At 41.2% G+C, this 21997-nt stretch overlaps 1 protein-coding gene and 1 pseudogene across 1 annotated transcript in view, besides 1 other annotated feature; one reads left to right on the top strand and one right to left on the bottom strand.

The window, feature by feature from the left end:
- The window catches only part of HEMK2 (HemK methyltransferase 2, ETF1 glutamine and histone H4 lysine), a 309770-nt gene that overhangs the window by 141170 nt on the left and 146603 nt on the right, over positions 1 to 21997 (top strand). The gene's annotated exons all lie outside the window — the stretch shown is intronic.
- On the bottom strand, positions 907 to 1006 carry LOC124905067 (uncharacterized; annotated as a pseudogene).
- Positions 1297 to 1591: a silencer, noted in NCBI's record as "tiled region #7516; K562 Repressive non-DNase unmatched - State 13:Ctcf". NCBI's record gives its function as "represses a minimal TATA promoter and a strong SV40 promoter by Sharpr-MPRA in K562 cells {active_cell/tissue: K562}" and the evidence as "EXISTENCE:reporter gene assay evidence [ECO:0000049][PMID:27701403]".

The raw sequence follows: 21997 nt of genomic DNA, 5'->3' as shown, positions 1-21997 counted from the left end.
AACTCATGACTCAGGGGTTTGGTGTACAGAGTATTTAATTACCCAGGTACTAAGCATAGTATCAGATAGTTTTTTCTCTTCTGAACCTCTCCCTCTTCCCAGCCCCCACCCTCAAGTAGGCCTCAGTATCTGCTATTTCCCTCTTTCTGTCCATGAATTCTCATTATTTAGCTCCCACTTATTAGTGAGAACATGTGGCATTTGGTTTTCTGTGTTAGTTTGCTGAGGATAACAGCCTCCAGTTCCATCCACGTTTCTGTAAAGGATGCAATCTTGTTCTTTTTCATGGCTGTATAGTATTCTGTGGTCTATATGTCCCATGGCTATTTTCTTTGATAGTCTCAGAACAATAAAACATTCAGTACCCACAGCAACCCTTGTAGCTACCAGACACATTTGCATGATCCAAGCATAACAGTTAAAGATGAATGGCCTTAATGCCTGGGGTCATCCAACTTTCACCATCTTCTATTTTAGACTTTTTCCTCCTCCTAATAGGCAGAGATGGGATGAATTCCTTAATTAAACAAGATCTCTTGTTTGAACCAGTTTAGACTGCAATCATTCATCAAACTTTTCTTTCCTCCCTCCCTTCCTCTCTTCCATTCTCCCTTCACCTTCTCTCCTTCCTTCACTCTCTTTTTTCTTTTCTGCATCCCAATGACTTGTTACTTACTGTGTTCTGTTAAGTTTAGGTACAAACAATAGAAGCAAGTGCTTTATTTAACTCCTTATTTCCTGTTATGGGCTGAATTCAACCCAGTCAACACCTTAATCTTGGACGTCTAGCCTCCAGAACTGTGAGAAATAAATTTCTGTTGTTGAAGTGACCCTGCCTCTGGTACTTTGTTATAGTAGCTCTAGCAAATGTACACATCCCCTTAGATTCTGTCTCTCTCTTTTTTTTAAAACACGGAACACTTTTAGGAATGTGCATGTCATCCTGGCGCAGAGGCCATGCTAATCTACTCTAAATTGCTGCTGAAGCAAGCACTCCTGTTAGATTTTTCAACCTCCACATTTTCCAAGACTTCTTAAAATACTGGCTTTTCAGACCTTTGGGTCTCATCCCTCCTGTTGCTACACTCCACCACTGCAGCGCATTTGACAATAGTGACTGTGTTTGTGTGAACGTGAGCAGATACTAAATCCCAACATTTTTGAACAGTTTCATTGCACTCCTACCAGGTACAGCGCATTCATTAATTTTAATATTTACTATCACAATGGGAACTAAGAAGTTGTCAGGAAACGGAATAAACTTAAAAATGGTTCATAGGAGAAGAAGACAGAAGACCGTGACCACAGAGAAAATTTTAGCCTAAAGCCTTCTTATACTGTTGTGCTAGAAAAACGTTTCTCCCTCAATAAATAGATATGTGTCTATAGGGCTTCTTCAAATTCTGGTGTTTGGGTGAAAATATTGAAATACTGTAGATGGCACCATGACATTGCACATGACTGTTTTAGAACAAAACCACTGTGTCGTTATCTCCCTCCCCCATTTTTTTTCCTTTTTTTTTTCTTAGTGGGCAAGTTATTGGAATCTTTAAAAAAATGATCATTTATGATTAAAACTTGGAAAAGGAATTATGCCCATTTTTTTCATGTTTACTCTCATGGCCTGTACTACAAAGCACTAGTCAGTAACCTCCCCTTGAAAAGTCTTTGGATAAGTGCATCATTATTCTAGCTACCAGCACTTGGTGAATCCCCATGTTAAACTCAACGTGTTTTGAAATTAAACCTCAGAGATGTTCCCAACCTTCTTTTATGTCCCTAGAGATAAGTTTACCAAATGTTAACAAAGAAATAATTGTTCTCAGAACTTATGGCAGCAAAGTGATGAGATGTAGGGTTGCTTTAAGACCGAGGCACAAATGGTGCTCTGTGGCAAACGTAAAGAAACTGTTCAATAATTACTGTTTTCAGCAAATGTAAAACTCTAAACCAGGGGCCAGCAAACTTCTTCTGTACAGATCCATCCAGATAGTAAATATTGTCAGCTTTATGGGCTACACGGTCTCTGTCCAAGCTACTCAAAGCTGCCATTTTACCCTGAAAGCAGCCATAGACAATACATATACAAACAGGCATGGCTGTGTTCCAACAATACTTTATTTACAAAAACAGGTGGCAGATTTGGTCCTGAGCGATAGTTTGCCGTCACCTCCTCAAACCCAGGCTTGCTTTCCCTGTAAAGAAGGCTCTCTCTTGTGGTGATTCCTCAAAGACCTAAAGACAGAAATACCATTTGACCCAGCAATCCCATTACTAGGTATATACCCAAAGGAAGAAATATATATCATTCTATTATACAGACACAGGCACACATGTGTTCACTGCAGCACTATTTACAATAGCAAAGACATGGAGTCAACCTAAATGCCCATCAATGATAGACTGGATATAGAAAATGTGGTACATATACACCATGGAATACTATGCTGCCGTAAAAAGGAATGAGATCATGTCCTTTGCAGGGACATGGACGAAGCTAGAGGCCTTAGTATCCTTAGCAAACTAACACAGGAACAGAAAACCAAATACCACATGTTCTCACTTATAAGTGGGAGCTAAATGATGAGAACGCAGAGACACATAGAGGGGAACAACACCCGCTGGGGCCTAGTGGAGGGTTGTGGGTGGCAGGAGGGAGAGGATCAGGAAAAATAACCAATGGGTACTAGGCTTAATAACCTGGGTGATGAAATAATCTGTACAACAAACCCCCATGACACAAGTTTACCTATGTAACAAACCTGCACATATATCCCTGAACTTAAAATCTTAAAATAAAAGTTAAAAAAAGAAACCTCTTTCTGTAGTAGGTTTGAATGCCTAATACACACATTTTCTCTCTCCTGCCTTTTAAAACTTCATGCTTATGCTTTCCCCATATGTTTCAAGCATGATCTTGTGTCATCTTTTTTGGAGGTAAAATGTTGGGTTGAGTGGGTTAGGAAACTGACTTGTGAGTGTGACATTGGAGATGGGTCTAATCATGATGTTGGCCTGGACATATCTCATTTCTTCCCATGGGACCCATCTGATTTGATTTGACTTTAGGAATAAGAGTTCAGATTTGGGATTGTGCTTGGTTTGGAGCTGGCTTGGTGAGCATGAAAATGCTCTTCAGTTATCTTGGAGCTAACACATGTGTATATTAACCAAACAGAAACCAACTTAGGAAGTAAATTATAGTAGTAATTGTATTAGAGGTAAAGCATATATACAGTTATGAACAGTGCCCTGTGTCCAAAAAAATGCATTACATAATTTTCAAAAATGTAATGTATTTATTAACATACTTATCCATAGTCAGGTTCCACAGGAGCTAATTCTGAATATGGTTCACTCAAGGCCACTCTGCCCAGGAAGTTGGGCAGAAGGGATCAATTCCCTTAAGAGGCATTGATCTGTTAGGTTCTTTCTTGCCTATCTAGACTTGAGCAGACTCCAGAAGAATAAAGCCAATAATTTCTAGGAATTCAATCTTGTAAACTTCTGGGTCAGGTAAAGATAGCAGGTTGCTTTTGATAGTTTTTGGCCTCATTTGAATTCTAAGCTTATGAAAACACTGTAGTTGTGAAATACTTTAGCATGAAGCCGAGGCTGGTGAAGGAAGGGTACCTTTTCTCTCCCACAAAAATCCTCTCCAACTAGATTTGATATATTTTGCATGGATTAATTCATAAACAATCACTATTGCCCATATGGAAGCTATGATAGCCAACGGACTGTAAAGTAGGCTGAAATCTGCAGTTGGCCCTCAGGTTTTGACCCACTGTCATTTGAATTCCTGCTTTATGTCAGCTCTCATAGGGAATAAGACATTCCAAAGGGTTACCCACACAATAAAGGACTTTGTCTATGTTCATGTGTTTTGGCCAGTTTGAAAATCTTATTGCGTGGTCTGGGCTACACAAATAGACAAAAGTAAATAGAGAAACCTGCTTCATGGAATAGCTTTGGAAACTGTGGTTGCTAAGATATAGATAGGCTTTAAGTAGAGAGAATTTCCATTATAAATATACTAAAAGGATCAGAAAAGTGAATTTACATGAAAAACATACACTGGGTGTTTGGAAAGTGCTTTTTCTATAGACGGTGTGTAAAACGCATATCAAGGGAACTCTTTGGGGGAAGACAAGAATTTACACAAGGTGTTGGGATGAAAAATATTGCTAACTTGTTTTAATTATTGGCTGAAACTTGATGGAAAGAGGAAAAAATCCTCCAGATGATACAAAGTAGACCTTTCTTCTCATGCTCCATAGAGGTCTTTCGGGAAAAATTTCCCATTTCTACTTATGTTTGGAAAACCTTGGGTGTGTATTTTCACTGTGTATTTAACCTTCTTTCCTGGCTTCTAGAACTGTGCTGTCCAATATGGTAGACACTGGCCATGTGTTGCTTTTGAGCACTTAAAATGTGGCTACTGTCGCTGAAAAACAGAATTGTTAATTTTATTGAATTTTAGTTAATTTAAATTTGAATAGGCACCTAGGGCTAATGGCTATAGGGACAGTACAGATAGAGAACATTTCCATCATCACAGAAAGTTCTGTTTAGACAGCACCCTGCTCTGGAGGGTGACCGGACAGTAATTTTTGCTCATAAGACTTGTTTTTAATATTGAAGATTTAGTTTTCTCCCAACTGATGAAGTTTAGGGAAAAATGCCACGAAGATGGCATTCAGATCTTATTAACATTTTCTCACTACTTATTTTTTCCCTCAGTTCTGAGTAATTCTGTCTATTTTTATCTATACCATATTATATTTAGTTCCTTCTAATGTAATTAAACAAAAATATCTTAATTTCAGAAAACACTTCTTTAATTAGTTGTGTTTGAAATGTCCTTACTAATCCTTACTATAATAACTGAATGGCCAATTTCATAGCCTCAGTGGGAAAAACGAAAAAAGAGAAAGACCTGTGTTCTTGATCTGTGCCAAACAGGAAAATACTGTGGTTCAGCAATAGAAAATGAAGAGGGAGGAAATGTTTCAGGTCATCAAATGGGGTCAGAAATACGCATGTCAATGTACTTTTGCTGCTCTCGCGAATTTCTCAAAAGGGTATCTGTGAATACCTAATTTAGGTTTTTTTGGTTTCATTTTAAGTACACATGAGCTTCTGGAAAGGGCGATATTTATATATTTTTTTCACTGTGGTTTACGATCCAGTGTAGGTATATTTCAGGATGTCACTCACAATTTCAATGTGGTCATAGAATTATTCAGAGAAAGCTAATTGAAAGCAAAATGCATTAAAATGACTAGGATTAAGCTGCCCACGGACACCAACTGTCTTGTTTTGTCCCCATTGTAAACACAAGTGCCCCAGAAGTGCATGTGCTGAAGTTGGCCTCTGTTGAATGAATGCATTTAAATGTGGAAGTTTTTGTATTATTATAGGATAAGAAATGTTGCAATTGCAAAAATGTTGGGGACTAGAGCCATCTCTGGGAGGTTTTCCTAGGACGTAAGCTCTGTTGTTTCGGAGTTCAGGGAGTGGGGCAGTGACCTGCATAAAGAGCCCCCAGGGAGAAGGCCCAGGGTCCTGGCTTCTCCGTGGGACTGTTTCCCGGGTCACAGAAAGGGAGACCCAAGTGTCAGAGATGGGCAGATTGAACTGTCCCTGCCGGTGTTTACAAGAGACACTTGACCTTGATGGAAAGCAGAGGGAGGACAGCAAGAGGGAGACGTTCTCTGTGTCCACATCAGCACCCTTTCCCCCTTCCTTGCCCTTTATCTTGTCTCATCCTTACCTTGTTGGAAAAACACATTGGCAACATCACAGCCCACTCAAAAGGTTGCCAACACCTTCTCCCAATAATAGCGATCAACATATGTAATAGACTTCAGCTGTCTTTTTGGGAGATCTGGCAACAAACTTAACTGAAAAAAGTCAGATTTTTACAAAGAAACACTGCTTTATTGCTTAAATGTGGAAATAATACAGAACACCAGCTAAGCTAATAGCTTTCTGAGAAAGAAAGTTCAAAGTGTCCATTGCTACTTCAATAACACATACATAAGTGGAAGGTGACCAAAAAGATGAACATGTAAAGAGGGGCCCTCATGTGTCGGCAAATTGTTGCTATTCTGAGCTCTCCACTTGCAGCAATTATCTAACTGTTGTTGGAAGAAGCTAAGAAACAATCCTCCAGCCCTCCCATAATGCCCTCTCCAAACAAATGAAAACACAGTGCAATTGGCTTTTCAGTGTTTGCTCCCAACCTGCCCCTTCCTGTGTTTCTCCCTGAACATGATTCTTTACTTCGTAGGTCATCCTCTCATCCTTGCATTCTTTGTGTATATTACTGGCTAGCTGCCAATCAGCAATGGACACCTCCCAGAGTTCTGGCAGACCTGGCTTGTGAAGTTAAGCAGGGCTTGGTGAATTTAGCTCACTTAACTGAGATATGAGAGCAGTGAAGTGATGTATGTAGAGAAAGGCACAGTTCTCCAGAGCTCTTGAGAATCCTTAAAATAAATATATGTTCCTTACAAATTTTCATCGTAAGCTTGGTGCACATTTCTAAGGCAGCTGGGGAATCATAGAGCAGCTCATCTTTTCTTCTTCTTTTTTTTTTTAACAGTCTATGGACTAATTAAGCTCTGAAAACCCATTAAAACACAAGTAGGCCATGATTTCAACACTTCTAAAGAAAAAAAGGCAGATTTTTGAATTCTCGTTTTCTCTGGCTCTGCCTCTAAAGCCTCAAAAACATTTTATAATAAGTGGATAAAACTCCACTGAGGGATTGGGCGTGGTGGCTCATGACTGTAATCCCAGAACTTTGGGAGGCTGAGGTGGGCAGATCACTTGAGGCCAGGAGTTCAAGACCACTCTGGCCAATATGGTGAAACCCCATCTCTACTAAAAATACAAAACTTACCTCGGTGGGGTGGTTCACACTTGTAGTCCCAGCTACTTGGGGGGCCGAGGCCCAAGAATCGCTTAAACTCTGGAAGCAGAGGCTTCAGTGAGCTGAGATTGTACCACTGCACTCCAGCTTGGGTGACAAAGTGAGACCCTGACTCAAAAACCAACCAATTAACCAACCAACCAACCAACCAACCAACAAACTTCACTGAGGACAGAAAATCTGCCTCCTCAACCCCAATCATTTTGTATTTACTGGGACCCTTGTCTCTTTTAACTTCTGAGTTTATGGGGAGCCTCTTTTAAATCTCCCCAGCTACTCAAATTTTATATATGGAAGGGAGGTGGGAACTATTCAGTCTTGGAAGAATAAAGTTTAAACCCCTGTGAATCTCAAAATATCAATAAATGAAAGGACACGTAACTGTCAATTCTGAGTTTCCCAACTGGATCAGTTGTGACTTTTATTTCTTTCGCACCTGCCTGTCTCATCTTTTTTTTTTTTTTAATTGTATCCAAATACAGACAGCAGGTTTCTGAAAGGATCTCACTCTGTTGCCCAGGCTGGAGTGCAGTGACACGATATCAACTCAAAGCAACCTCTGCCTCCCAGGTGCAGGCGATTCTTCTGCCACAGCCTCCTGAGTAGCTGGGATTACAGGCATGCGCCACCATGCCCAGCTAATTTTTCTATTTTTAGTACAGACCAACAGGTGGGGTTTCACCATGTTGGCCAGGCTGGCCTCGAACTCCTGACTTCAGGTTGATCTGCCTACCTCGGCCTCCCAAAGTGTTGGGATTACAGGCATGAGCCACCGCGTCCGGCCACTGAAAGAATATTAACATATTCAGGCTTCAAGTTTGTGAACAAGCAGCTCCCCACTTCTAGGCTCACTTAAGAGAACTGTGAAAGTATCCTGATTTGCTGTTCCATTGCACTAATGAAGGAGCAGGAGGCAAAGATAGCTAGGCTTTGTGAGGTGGAGCAGCTAGGAAATAGAGGTGGGTTATCCTACTTCACGGACAGTGTGGGCCTGACATTTCTTGCTTGTCCTTCCATATTCTCATCCTAATAACTAGAAGTGGGCTCTCTCTGCAGGCCACCTTGTTGCAGCAAGAGCTATCATAAGGCATTGAGCTGCCTGGATTTTTTAAGTCTCATATATCCTGTCTGTAGTAGATTGCAAAATCTGGTGTCGATCTATACCCCTTCCTTGTGTCTACCCTCCTTGTAATGTGCCCTTGTAGCTCCTTCCATCAAAAGGTAGAATCTGTTTTCCCACCATTTAAATTTGGGCTGATCTGCTTTAGTTTTTAGTATGGGGTAGAAGGGCCAATGAGCCGGTCAAGCCCAGGCTTCCGCAGGAGGCTGAATTCCACCATGACCCTTACTCTTGTGTAATCTCCTTGCCTTCACTGTGGTTGGCACTTGTGAATATGATGAGCTATTACTCTTGTCATTATGTTATGTTATATAGCAAAAGAGATTTTGCAGATATAACCAACTTTCCAAATCCGTTGAGCATAAGATAGGGAGGTTATCTGGGTAGACCTGACCTCATCACATGAGTTCTTTAAATCTGAGTCTAGTGGTCAGAGACAGAGGCAGTCCAAGGTCTGAAACCAATCAACCAACAAAACGTCACTGAGGACAGAAAATCCGCCTCCCCAACCCCAGTCGTTTTGTATTTACTGGGACCCTTGTCTCTTTTTACTTCTGAGTTTATGGGAAGCCTCTTTTAAATCTCCCCAGCTGCTCAAATTTTATATATGGTAGGGAAGAACTTGACATACCCTGACTGTCTTGGAGATGGAGGGAGCTTTGTGATAAGGAATGTGGGTCATCTTTAGTGGCTGAAAGTGGCCTCTCACTAACAGCCTGCAAGGAATCAGGGACCTCAGTCCTACAACCACAAGTAACTGAATTCTGCTGACACCAAGAATGGGATTGGAAGCAGATTTTCACCCCCAGAGCCTCCAGCTAAAAACTTAGCCCAGGTGACACCACAATTTCAGCCTTATGATACCCAGGGTAGAGAACCCAGTCCTATTGTACTAGACTTCTGAGTTACAGAACTATGAGCTAGTAAATGAGTGTTGTGTTAAGGTGCTAAGTTTGTAGAAATTGTTATGCAGCAACAGAAAACCAACATAGCCCCAAAAGACCTCATACACTTCTATTCTCTCTCTTGGAACCTTGGCAAGATCAAGAAGCCATGCCCAGACTAGCCTTCTGGGGAATGAGAGATCAATGAAGCAGTGCCGAGGAGCCCCCACTGAAGCTGGCCAACTTCCAGAAGCAGGGCCACCTGACCAACCCACAGTTGATCACAGATGCCTGAGGGAGTTCAGCCGAGTATAGAACCACACAGTTTATCCTACTCTGACTTGCTGACCTCCAGAACCATGAGTTATGCAAGTGATTGTTGTTTGGGCCATTAAGCTTTGGGTTGGTTTGTTACAGAGCAATATCTCATTGATATAAAGTCTGTCTTTATAAGCAGACACCAAACTTGTCTTAATGCTGAGCGTGCACACTGCCACATTTAGAAAGGTTGGAACTGATGATTCTTCAGATAGAAAGCTTTTGTTGACTCATGATGAGACCCACCCATTTCAATGAGGTACTTAGGCAGCACACCGTCACAGAGCTGATCAAAGCTCTGGCATGGGTTCAATCAGGATTATTCCATGGGCCATATCAAAGTTCCTCACTGCACCTTCACTTCATGTAAAAACAATTCATTTATAATTGTTTTACACTTCATGTAAAAACAATTCATTATATAAACTTCTTTCTATGATCAGGAGCTCAGGGTAAATTATTTTACCAACTCACCTTTTCACCATTATAAATATGATTGCAAATTATAAATAAAATATTAAAAAAATTGTCTTGCCAAATTTCTGATTATAGTTGAAAGCAGACATGCCGTGGCAGACAACAGATATAAAAAACAAAGATGAAAACATTTCAGTGGTGTACTCATGCTGTCAGAGTTTAAAACGTATATTTATAAATATATGCAGTGTGTCTCTGTGTGGAGTCTAAACTGTTTTCAATGAACTCAGCCTGTTTGCAAACTTGGATTTCTTCTTCGGGGGGCTACTGTCTACTTTATATTCCTAAGATAATCAGGCAGGTGTGTGAAGCAAATGTGAGTGGCTCAGTTTCATTTTGAACTCCTGATACGGATATTAGGGATCTTGGACTTAGAAGGTTTGATTGCTATAGTATTTCAGTAATAGGAGGTCTGCAATGGCATCCGATGTTAATACCCTCTCTCAGGAAAGATGATAATGGCTTTTCTCCATCCCTAAATGAACCAAAAAATGATAGAACAGACATCTGTGGATGGAGATTGCTGGAAGATTAGTGTGAAGGGGAAAAAGGATCAGCAATAGCGCTGCCGTTGCTGGGAAGGGGGTGGGGAGAGGCTGTCGCAGAGGAAGACTAAACAGTGACGAGTTAATGGGTGCAGCACACCAACATGGCACATGTATACATATGTAACAAACCTGCACATTGTGCCCATGTACCCTAGAACTTAAACTATTATTAAAAAAAAAAAACCAGTGGCTTGCAAAGGGTGGCAATCAGGCTACCAAAAGGTTACATGGGGCAAAACTCCTGTGTGTGAAAAAAATGGGGTTGGGGGGAGTGGGTACGCAACTTAATTCAAAACATTGGTGACCCAGAGAGAAAAGGAAGAGCAAAATGTAAGGTGTGGGTGGAGGAAATACATGTTCAGGTTCAACTGTAGAGAGGTCCACAAGTGCATCACTGGTTCCTTTATCATGAGACCTGCGTGTATGTCCCAGGAAGAGGCAGTTATTGGATGTTTAGGGTACATGATGGGATTTTCAGCTGGAGACTGTTGTGGATGCTTAGCTGAGAAAAAAAGCCAATGTTATCTAAGAGGAATTCTGCTACAAACAGGGAAATGGAAGACCACACAATTCATGTAAACAATATTGCTGCTTATTCTTAATGTTTTTGTTTGTTTGTTTGTTTGTTTTTTGAGACGGAGTCTTGCTCTGTTGCCCAGGCTGGACTGCAGTGGCACGATCTCGGCTCACTGCAAGCTCCGCCTCCCGGGTTCACACCATTCTCCTGCCTCAGCCTCCCGAGTAGCTGGGACTCTAGGTGCCCACCACCACGCCCGGCTAATTTTTTGTATTTTTAGTAGAGACGGGGTTTCACCGTGTTAGCCAGGATGGTCTTGATCTCCTGACCTTGTGATCCACCCGCCTCAGCCTCCCAAAGTGCTGGGATTATAGGTATGAGCCACCACGCCTGGTCATTCTTAATGTTTTTGTTTGGGAGACGTGATGAGTAGAGCACAAGTTGACCCCAGTGAAGCTTCAATATTGCACAGTCCTTATTCTGGAGGTACCCGGGTATTACCGACAAGCAAAATTTTATCTAGAGGCAGACAGAGGATTTTGAAAGACATCTGGGAGAAGGGAATAATGGTCAGGTCTGAGACTCAGCAGAAATCAAGGTTTTTCTTGTTCAGACAGAGTCTTTCCCTCTGAGCAGTGGAGAATCTCAGATGATTTGGGTGCACATACTGGATATATGCTGGTGATCCTTTCTGTCGTCTCCTTGGGAAACATTATTTACACAAGTTCCTTCATCCCTACCTGTGGCCCCCCTGCCAGTCCCTTTCATGCTTACATCCACTCCTCCTGCCTACAGCCTTCTTTTTTTCTGGGCGAGGGAAGAGTATCTTAGTGAACTGCGTCCCAGAGAGGGAAATTGATAGTGATGTCCACAACCCACAGTATTCTGCCTTTGTGAATCCCCTTCACATATGCAGTCCATCCTAGGAGATGCTATGTGACCTGGGACATCCCTTGATGCCAGCACATGCTGTATTATCTTTGGGAATTCACACTAGACCATGTGTGCTTCTGCTTTATTCATCAGTTACCCTCAGCACACATCACAGTGCCTGGCACACAGTGGCACTGAAATACCATTTAATAAAGAACACTAACTGTGACAGCACACATAGAACTATACAGCAATTCAAGTAAATATTTTTCCCATTCTCTTTAACACAGGACATGAAATCTTGAAGAGACGATAGTCCCTGGGCATTCTACTTCTATGCAGCATGTAGGGCTAGAAATAGCCATTGTCCAGCCCTGTACCTCAAAGGCAGCAGGAAGCCAAGTGTCACCATCTGTGATTTAGCCTGCGTCCTAGAACAAAACGGCAGGAGAGGCTGGGTGGCTGATGAAAGCAAGTATCTTGTCTCAAGTTCAAAGCAACGCTTTTCCGACCTGCTAGGTTTCTAGGAGTGACACGTACCACCCAGGGACTCTGGACAAGTTGCCTTGCATGTCACCACCTCTGTGTGGGCTACCAGCTACTGGCAAGGTTCATGGCTGCAGGCACAGGCTGTGCAGTCCTAGGGTGCTCTGCAGAGTTCCCAGACAGCTTGCAGGTGGCTCCAGGGACTGCTCACTTCTCTTTTCTCTCTAGCCCTATGTCATGAAGGGACTGCTCATTTCTTTCTTTTTTTTTTTTTTATTATTATACTTTAAGTTTTAGGGTACATGTGCACAATGTGCAGGTTAGCTACATATGTATATATGTGCCATGCTGGTGTGCGGCACCCATTAACTTGTCATTTAGCATTAGGTATATCTCCTAATGCTATCCCTCCCCCCTCCCCCTACCCCACAACAGTTCCCGGAGTGTGATGTTCCCCTTCCTGTGAGCAACTGCTCACTTCTAAGCCAGGTGTGTATTTTGTTTCCTGGCCAAGCCATTGTTTCATAAAACTTTAGATTTAGGGGACATCTAAGGACACAGAGAGAATGGGGCAGCATCATTCCTGAAATGGGATATTTTCATGGGCAAGTATAAATGTCTTCATCAGATAGCTGCTTCCAACAGATTCTGAGTATGGGACGTATAATTATTACACAGAATATGGCACTTTTTCAGAAATTGGATATTTATAGATTCTAGCTCCATTACATAGTATCTATGTGACCTTGGGTTACTCAAGCTCTATAAGCTTCAAGTTCTTTATATGTAAATTGAGTATCATAATATAAACAGGGTATTGTGAGAATTAGCGGGTTCTCATTACTTACTACTAATGCTCCTTTCGATTTGAAAAGATCTGCTCCTTCCCTCTTCTCCCTTCCCCCAACTTTTTTAGCCTAAGCCTCTCTCCACCACTTCCTCCCTCATTCAGGATTTATTTATGCAATTGATGGGTATGACACAGCATGTGCTGTGTATCCCATCCTCTGTCATTTCACCCATGGACAGGCTTCTTATAGGGAGCGTGAGTTTTTCCTGCTGGGATGGGGTAGAGGGAGGCCTCCAATCCTCCCAGAGCACTGCTTGACTTGTCTGTCACGGTGGGCTGCCTCTGAGAAGGGCCCCTATAATATTCACACACATGTATAATCTCTTCCTCTTGAATGTGGCTGGACTTAGTGACTTGCTTCTAACAAACAGAATGTGGCAAAAGTGGTGAGATATGACTTCTGAGATTAGGTTGTAAAACATTGTGACTTCTGGCTTGCAGTCCTCTCTTTCTTGCTGTCTTGGAGCCCTGCTATAAAAGGAAGCAAGCTGCCATGTTCTAAATAGCCCTATGGAGAGGTCCACATAGCAAGGACTCACGTCTCCAAGCTAACAGCCAGCAAGAAACTGAGGCCTCAGTTCAATAGCCTGTGAGGAACTAATTCCTGCCAATAGCCACATGAGTGAGTGTGGAAGCAGGTCCTTTTCCAGTGGAGCCTTGAGGTGGCCACAGCCTGGCCAACACCTTGATTATAGCCTGGTGAGAGGCCCTGAGCCAGAGAAGCCATGCCGTACCCAGATCCCTGATCCATAGAAATTGTGAGAAATGTGTGTGTGTGTGTGTGTGTGTGTGTGTGTGTGTCTGTGTGTGTTTGAGACAAGGTTTGCCCAGGCTGGAGTGCAGTGGTGTGATCATGGCTTACTGCAGCCTTGACCTCCCAGGCTCAAGCGATCCTGCTACCTCAGCCTCCTGAGTAGCTGTGACTACAGGCTCATCCCACCGTACCTGGCTAATTAAAACTTTTTTTTTGTGGCAATGGGGGTCTCACTATGCTCCCCAGGCTGGTCTTGAACTCCTGGACTCAAGTGATCCTCCCGCCTTTGCATCCCAAAGTGCTGGGATTATAGGTCTGAGCCACCAAGCCCGGCAATGTTTGTTCTTTTAAGCTGCTTAGCTTTGAGGGATTTTGTTACAAAGCAATAGATAACTAGTACAGCTGGGTAGGTCTGGCTAATCTCGTGTTCAGTCTGAGGAAGCCCTTTGCCCCTCAGATGTAAGTGGATACTCTGACCTTCCCTATATTGGGTCGTAAAGATGACAGTTTGTTCTCCACGTGTGTTTTGCATTATTTCCCAATTATTTTTTAATTAGAAAAACTGGGCAAGGGAGTGGTGTGCTGTTTATCACTCGACAACCCGTCTTCTAAAAACCTCAACGTGAAAACTCTCCATAGATATTAGTTTCTTGCAAGAATTTCTGTAGGCCAAGCTTGTCCAACCCACAGCCTGTGGGCCACACGCGGCCCAGGACAACTTTTAATGCAACACAAAACAAATTTATAAACTTTCTTAAAACATTATGAAATTTTTTTGTGATTTTTTTTTTTTTTTTGCTTATCAGCAATCGTTAGTGTTAGTGTATTGTACGTGTGGCTCAAGACAGTTCTCTTTTTCCAGTGTGGACCAGGGAAGCCAAAAGATTGGACACCCCTGCCGTAGACATTTCTGCAAGTGAAATAGTTGGGATCCAGCTTTGCCTGAGACAGTGCTCTTCCAGTCCCTCTGCTATCAACAAAAATGCCCACGCTCTTTCTAGGCACTGCTATAGGACTTGGCAGAGGCTTATGTGCTTTGAGGTCCCTTTACCTCTAAGCCCATTCACAAACATTTTCTAGGCCACGGTCTTGGTTTTGCCATTTGCTCCTATTAAAACCCCTCCCATTCAAGGCCTAGATCTCAGGCATGAACATCTCAAGTGCATGCAAAGCCAGCGTAGGAGGAATTTTGGGGCTTAAGCAGCAACTAAATTTGGAGGTTACTTGAAGAGGAGAACAACAGGCTTTCGCACCTGCCCATGTTATTTTGGGGAGAAGTAGAGACAGAGAAACCTAGAAGATTATTAAATAATTAAAGACTTTCCAGAAAGCATTAATAAGGCCACAAGTATTTGGGTGCCCTTTGCTTTTTCTCATGCATTCTCAATTCAGGGAAACTAAATGAGTACACTCTCAGTCCCAAAGCTTCAGTGTTCCTGGCCATGTTTAAAGCATGGTCTGGGAATGGACACTGTATGAATAGCCCCTCACCAGGAGTCACAGCTCCCTGGAGGGTGGAGAGTGGGCACTGCTTGATCCCTTCTGTAGGGAAAGAGGGAGAGATCTGTGTCCTGGCAGCTTGAGAAGATTAAAATGTACTGTCTTCAGTTTCTTCCCTTGTGTCCTATTTCAGAATCTGTTAAAAAAGTATTTAAATCAGAAAAACAGCATTTGGATTTTATAAAATACAACAGATCAATTCCTACTTGTGGTTTTACCCTGGAGCTTGGCATGGAGAACAGTTTTAACAGACATTTTTCAAAAATCATTAGGCTCACCAAAATTCAAGCTGGCCCATGACATTTGGATTGGATCCATTTTTTTTAAGCTAATACTTTTCCACCCCCTGTGGTCTGTAGCTTTTAATCATTCCCTCTACATCATGAGTTTAGAAGAAAACAAGTATTTGCCTACCGAAGACATACTTAAGAGTTCTTCCATGTTCATGGATTTCTGGGCAAACATAACCACTTGAATAGGAAAGAAAAGCACAGTTGATAAATTTCCCACCCTTTAGGGAGGCCCCATGATTTCTAATAACTCCTGATTTCTACTGCTCAGCCCTGTCAATTTCCTTTGGGCCTAGCCTGGTGATACACTCATTTTCATATCTGTATTAGATTATTTAGGGCAATCCAAAGTCATAGGTGATAATTATTAAAATGGAATTTTATTTTAGAGGACATTAAATACTTTTAATGTAGGATGATTATGGGATGTGTCTACATAGTTAATTTGTAAAGGCATGTCATTTTATTAGGGCACTGAATTAGTTTCCTATTGCCACTGTAGCAAATTACCACAAACTTAGAGTTTAAGACAACACAAATTTATTATTTTCTAGTTCTGGAGGTCCCAAGTCTGAAATGGGCCTCACTGGGCTAAAATTGCACCCTGCATTCCTTGGCTCATGGCCCTGAATCGCTCCAATCTCTGTTTCCATTGTCACATGTATTGCTATAATTAAATAGCAGCAGACTGCTTCAGATTATTATGTGTATGCATACACACACTTCATGAAAAACAGAAGCATTTTTAAAATGAGGGATATTGGCCCTATTTTTTTAATTGGGAACAGAAGAATTTATCAGTTTATTTCAAGCAAGCCCTCAGGCTTACTTGAATGAAACAGGTCTGGTCTGAATTGATTTTCTTCCCAAAGAAATCAGGCTTATAAACAAGTGGTCCTATTTGAACATCAAATTTACCTACGCATTGCAGGTTATCTAATAAGTCCATGCACAGGCATTTTTAACATCCCCACAAATTAATCTATTATATGCACTTCTTTTCTTCTCCAATAAATCTTAAATCTACAAACTAAAGGCCCAAATCAAATGATTGCACTTCATGAATTCTATAGCATCCATAATGGATGTGGCTCCTTTGTTATTTTGAGCACGCAGGGTGCAACTTTGAAAGGTTAGCTAATGTATTTTTTGTTGCTAGAAACTATTTGTCCTCTATCCTTCCCTCCTTTCCAGGCAGCTGCCTGGGCATTAGGTTTTACTAACTTCTCCTGAGGATGATGTAACCAAACCAAAGAGTTGATTCTTAGTTTTTGGGTTTCAAACGCTTGGGCTTTGAATTTCATAAGGCAAAACTAAGAAAGACTTTGGGACCATACAATTATTCCAAAGCCACTGAAGTGTATGTAAATGTGTGGGTGTCCTGGGGATGCATCTCCTTCCCAAGGGAATACGTGGGGACTGAGACAGTGTCAACAAAATCAACCTCCAGATCCTCAAATCCCCTATATTTGCTTTTCTCAGACTCATCTCTCCATAGGCACCCTTATGACTTGCAGAGTTTCTTGCTTATTTTTTCTCCCCACACTTGCCCTTTTCATGTTCCTACTTCCATCCTTTGATTCACTCCTTATCTTGCTATGGTGGAAAAACCCAAGCAAAGGGACCCTGTGAACTAGTACTGATATTGAGAAAACTAATTGATCTGATAACTGGGGACCACATTCTTTTACAATGATTTTTTATTCTTTGCTCAGAATAAAGTTTGAAAACCTACTTAGGATATTCTAAATAATTTTTTTTTTTTTTTTTTAGATAGGGTCCTACTCTGTTGCCCAGGCTGGACTGCAGTGGTGCAAGGATTCTCATGCCTCATCCTCCCAAGTAGCTGGGATTACAGGCACCCACCACCACTCCCGGCTAATTTTTGTATTTTTAGTAGAGATGGGGTTTTGACATGTTGGCCAGGCTGGTCTCGAACTCCTGACCTCAAGTGATCCACAGGCCTTGGCCTCCCAAAGTGCTGGGATTACGGGCATGAGCCACTGTGCCTGGCCTGAAAATAATCTTTGACGGTAGACTACTATGCTATGTTTAGGATGTAACTCTAAAAAATCTCAAAGAAGTGAAAGACACTGCTATAATAAAATCGATTCTATTTTCAACTACTTAAATAAATTCTTTTTGGACAAGTCTTTTCAGTGCTATTTTTTAAACAAAGAACAACATTGATATTAACCTCTGTCTCATTCTATTGATAAATAGTATTCATTCATGGAGAGATTAACTAATTAGAAAAATCAGACCAGTCCCGCCCATTTCATTGAGATGATTTTCCATTAAAATTTAAATTTTTAAGTTTATTTATTAATATTTAAAATATATTTGTATTGTTTTGATCAGTTGTGAACTAAGTAAAACATAGTATGGTAATTCCCCAAATAAAACTTAAAAATATACATTTGAACCTATATAGTCAAAGGACCTTTTTTAAAAAATGTTAATTTATACCCTTTTCTGTGGTGAATTATGTTAATAATTAGTTAAATTCTTATTTAGTTAAATTTAGTTAAATTATTTCAAGTATATTATTGTATTAGAATAAAGTTCTGTGGGGAAAATGGAATGGAAATATGACTTTAAGGAACATTATAAAACAAGATAAGCATGTACATTTATATCGTTAAGTGAACAGTGATGAGTATCCCATTTCTTTGGAATTTAAATTCCACTGGAAACATTTGAAGGATCTGAGTAACAATTTTATTTTAGACTTTCAATATTTACAATTTACTGGAAGTCACTTTTAGCAACTACTTAAACTGATGACCAAGAAAGCCTATAGATGTCAACCTAATAATGTGCTAGGGGGTACAATGTCTTTTGAAATTATTTTAGGGAATAGATGAGTAAAAATAGACAAATTGAAGACCAAATTATAAAAATCATCCAGAATTATTTAAAAGCAAGACTTGAAATGAGATTGAGAATCTGGACTGCGGATGGCAGAGAGCATTGCTTCTGACAGTAACTGGGGTCTGAGTCAGGACATGATAGAACTTGCAGAGTTCAGTCTGAGAGTTGGCAGCACCTAAGCCCTCACTCTTGTCTGGTATCCCTGGAAAGCTGTTGATGTGTGGTTAGGAGAAGGCTAAGGGGGAGAAATGCCTGAGATTTCATCAAGTTCCCTCCATGTGTTTCCTCCCAGTATTCACTCTGAGTTTGCAGCTCAGTTGTCTGCAGTGATTACCTGTCTCATGAATGTATCCCTTTTAGTTTACCTCCCTTCCTAGTCTCACTTTCTCCATTGCCCTACCTGTGCTTTCTGAGGTTATCTCCCAAATAAACTACCTGCACCCAGCTTCTATCTCAGAATCTGTATTTGGGGGACATCAAAACCAAGAGATGTGCCATAAGTCACTTACTTACATGGAATAGATTTAATTTCAATACAATTTAGCATGCATTTATTGGGTGCATGCTAGGTTGGCTCTAGGGACACCCAACAACATTGATTGACTTATTAATCAGGATGGAAGTCAGGACTATCAGCTGGTCCTCTGTACTGAGTGTACATAGAGAGATTTAGGGAAAACTGACCTTAAAGAAATTAATCTTAAAAAGGTGTGATACCACTTTGGGAGGTCAAGGAGGGCGGATTGCTTGAGGCCAAGAGTTTGAGACCAGCCGGGCCAACATGACAAAACTCCGCCTCTACCAAAAAAATTCAAAAAATTAGCCGGCATGGTGGTGTGCACCTGTAGTCCCAGCTACTCAGGAGGCTGAGGCAGGGGAATCACTTGAACCCAGGAGGTAGAGGTTGCAGTGGGCTGAGATCATGCCTTTGCACTCCAGCCTGGGTGACAGAGTGAGACCCTGTCTCAAAAAACAAAAACAAAAACAAAAACAAAAAACCTGATACATGTAGTGAAGAAGCTGATCTGTCAAAAGCCAGAAAGCAAATGCAGAGGCATACTAAAGTCAGATGTTTAGGGGAATTCTTTTGGAATAACTAATTTTTCATCAAACAGGTTTTTCTTCTTATGAAATTTGCTGGCGCTCTGTTATTATAATCAGGAACTATAAGGAACCCAAATGTAGCGTCTGGTTAAAAAACAAACAAACAAACAAACAAGCAGTTAAGTTTTATTTGTAAGAGCAAATAAAAATCATGTTCTATTATGGAGTTAATAGGAAATAAGCAGGTTTTCCCCCTTAGCTTTCATTACAGCTCATGCAAATGCTAGTAATGCAATTATGTAAATATCTAGTTGAGGTTTGGAGTGCTGCCTTTATTATTTAACTCTAAAGTTATAAAATGCCTTATTTGCATATTACATTTTACAGCAATGGTATAAAGCTTATAAACAAGGTTCTATTTTTTAGAGAAGTGTTTAAAACAGAGGTTTCTGCCAGTGAGAATATGAGCCTTACCTAGTATTTAGCCTTGAGCTTTGAGCAAGGGATTATGTTGATAGCCATAAATGAAGAAAACCAAAATTAAAGAAAAATAAAAAGCACGTTAATAACTCTCACAAGTAATTAGCAAACAGAGTCCAAGGGCTTGAGGAAGGGATTGAGTTTCTGATCTCTCTTGGGTGGTTCCTCAACGTGTGTGACCTTGACCAAGTATTGTCCTCACTTCTTCCATCTGTGAAGATGAAAGCAACTCTTAATACTTAGAATCATTGCTGAGGCCTTGGTGTCAGTTGGTTCACTTTCTGATGGTCAAAGTTACGGAATAACTCCTTTTCTCACCACAAAGTTGCAGCATTTTAATAAGGAACAGGCTTGAGTCAGAAAAAAAGACACACCATGGCAAGGCAGTGCTGGCTGCGTATCTTCATAGCATGTCTGAGCTGGAAAGAAGCTGAATTATCATCTAATTTTAAAAAATCATTTTTGGGTTCGTAGTACGTGCCAGGCTAAACACTGTGCTAAAACTTTACAAAGATGATCTCACTCCTTCATTTCATCAGTCCCATGAGGCGGGGATGATTATCAACATCTTATTGATGAAGAAACAAGCTCCAAGAGGTAATGTGGCCAACGTCTTAAACTTGAAGTTGAAGAGCAAGAATCTGAGCCCTGTTTTAGATTTTTAATCTCTGTGTAAACTTCTTCCTTTTGTTCCATCTTTTCTCTTTAGAAATAAAGCCCTTGGAAACTCTGTGATATGCCAAGATCCCCAGGGTAATAAGTAACAGAGAGACTTCGAATGCAGGTTTTCTGAGTCCCAGGCTGGTGATGCGGTTCAGCAACACCTGCTACTAATCCAGGCTTCCCTGTGTAGCAGAGGAGTTGTCTCCATGCAAGTGTGCAGTGACATGTAGACTAATTGTTCTCAGTGTTTTAAAATGAAATCTAGGCCAGGAACAGTGTCTCATGCCTGTAATCCCAGAACTTTAGGAGGCTGAGATGGAAGGATCTTTTGAAGCCAAGAGTTTGAGACCAGCCCAGGCAACATAACAAGACTCTGTCTCTACAAAATAAAAATAAAAAAAAATTAGCTGGTCATGGCAGTGTGCAACTGTAGGCGCCAGCTACTTGAGAGGCTGAGGCAGGGGATTGCTTCTGCCCAGGAGTTGGAGGCTGCAGTGAGCTATGATTGCACCACTGCACTCCAGCGTGGGTAACAGAGAGAGAGACTTGTCTCTATTTTTTTTTTTTTTAATAAAAGAAATCTACAAGGCCTGTATGGAGTTCTGAAGATGCAGATCCTGCAGGTATAAAAGAGAGTCAGGCTCCTCTCATGGCCTTTCTGGATGCTTTTTGTTTGTTTGTTTGTTTGTTTGTTTGAGACTGAGTTTCGCTCTTGTTGCCCAGGCTGGAGTGCAATGGCGCGACCTTGGCTCACCACAACCTCCGCCTTCTGGGTTCAAGCGATTCTCCTGCCTCAGCCTCCTGAGTAGCTGAGATTACAGGCATGCGCCACCATGCCCGGCTAATTTTTTTGTATTTTTGGTAGAGACGGGGTTTCTCCATGTTGGTCAGGCTGGTCTTGAACTCCCGACCTCAGGTCATCCGCCTGCCTCTGCTTCCCAGAGTGCTGGGATTACAGGCGTGAGCCACCGTGCCCGGCCTATGGATGCCTTTCTTCCCAGGAATAACCAGCACAGGAGCCAGGTCATTGTCCTTTGCTAATAAGTGAATATAATCATTATTTTTTAAATGGAAACAACTCTCTCAAATAATTTTCAATTGATTTTTGAAACAACAAACAAGCAGCTTTATATGGTCAGCTTAAGCAGTTTTGTTTTACAAATCCTAAGTCTGTTTATTTAGCACATTTCTGCCTCTTCCATCGGACTCCTGTTCCTGCTGGCTTGGTTCTTCATTTACCTAGCACCTTAGTTCATCTGCAAACTTCACTGTATGCTATCTCTTCTCATTTGAAAAGTTCTTTTTCTAATATTTATCCCCAAATCCCCCTTTAAATTTTTTTGTATTCTCTTTTATCAATTTTTTTTAACCAGTAAAAT

This window comes from Homo sapiens, chromosome 21 (genome assembly GCF_000001405.40).
Source record: "Homo sapiens chromosome 21, GRCh38.p14 Primary Assembly".
Lineage (NCBI taxonomy): Eukaryota > Metazoa > Chordata > Mammalia > Primates > Hominidae > Homo > Homo sapiens.
The sequence above is the reverse complement of the archived record's forward strand: the minus strand, read 5'-3'. Positions and strand labels throughout refer to the sequence as shown.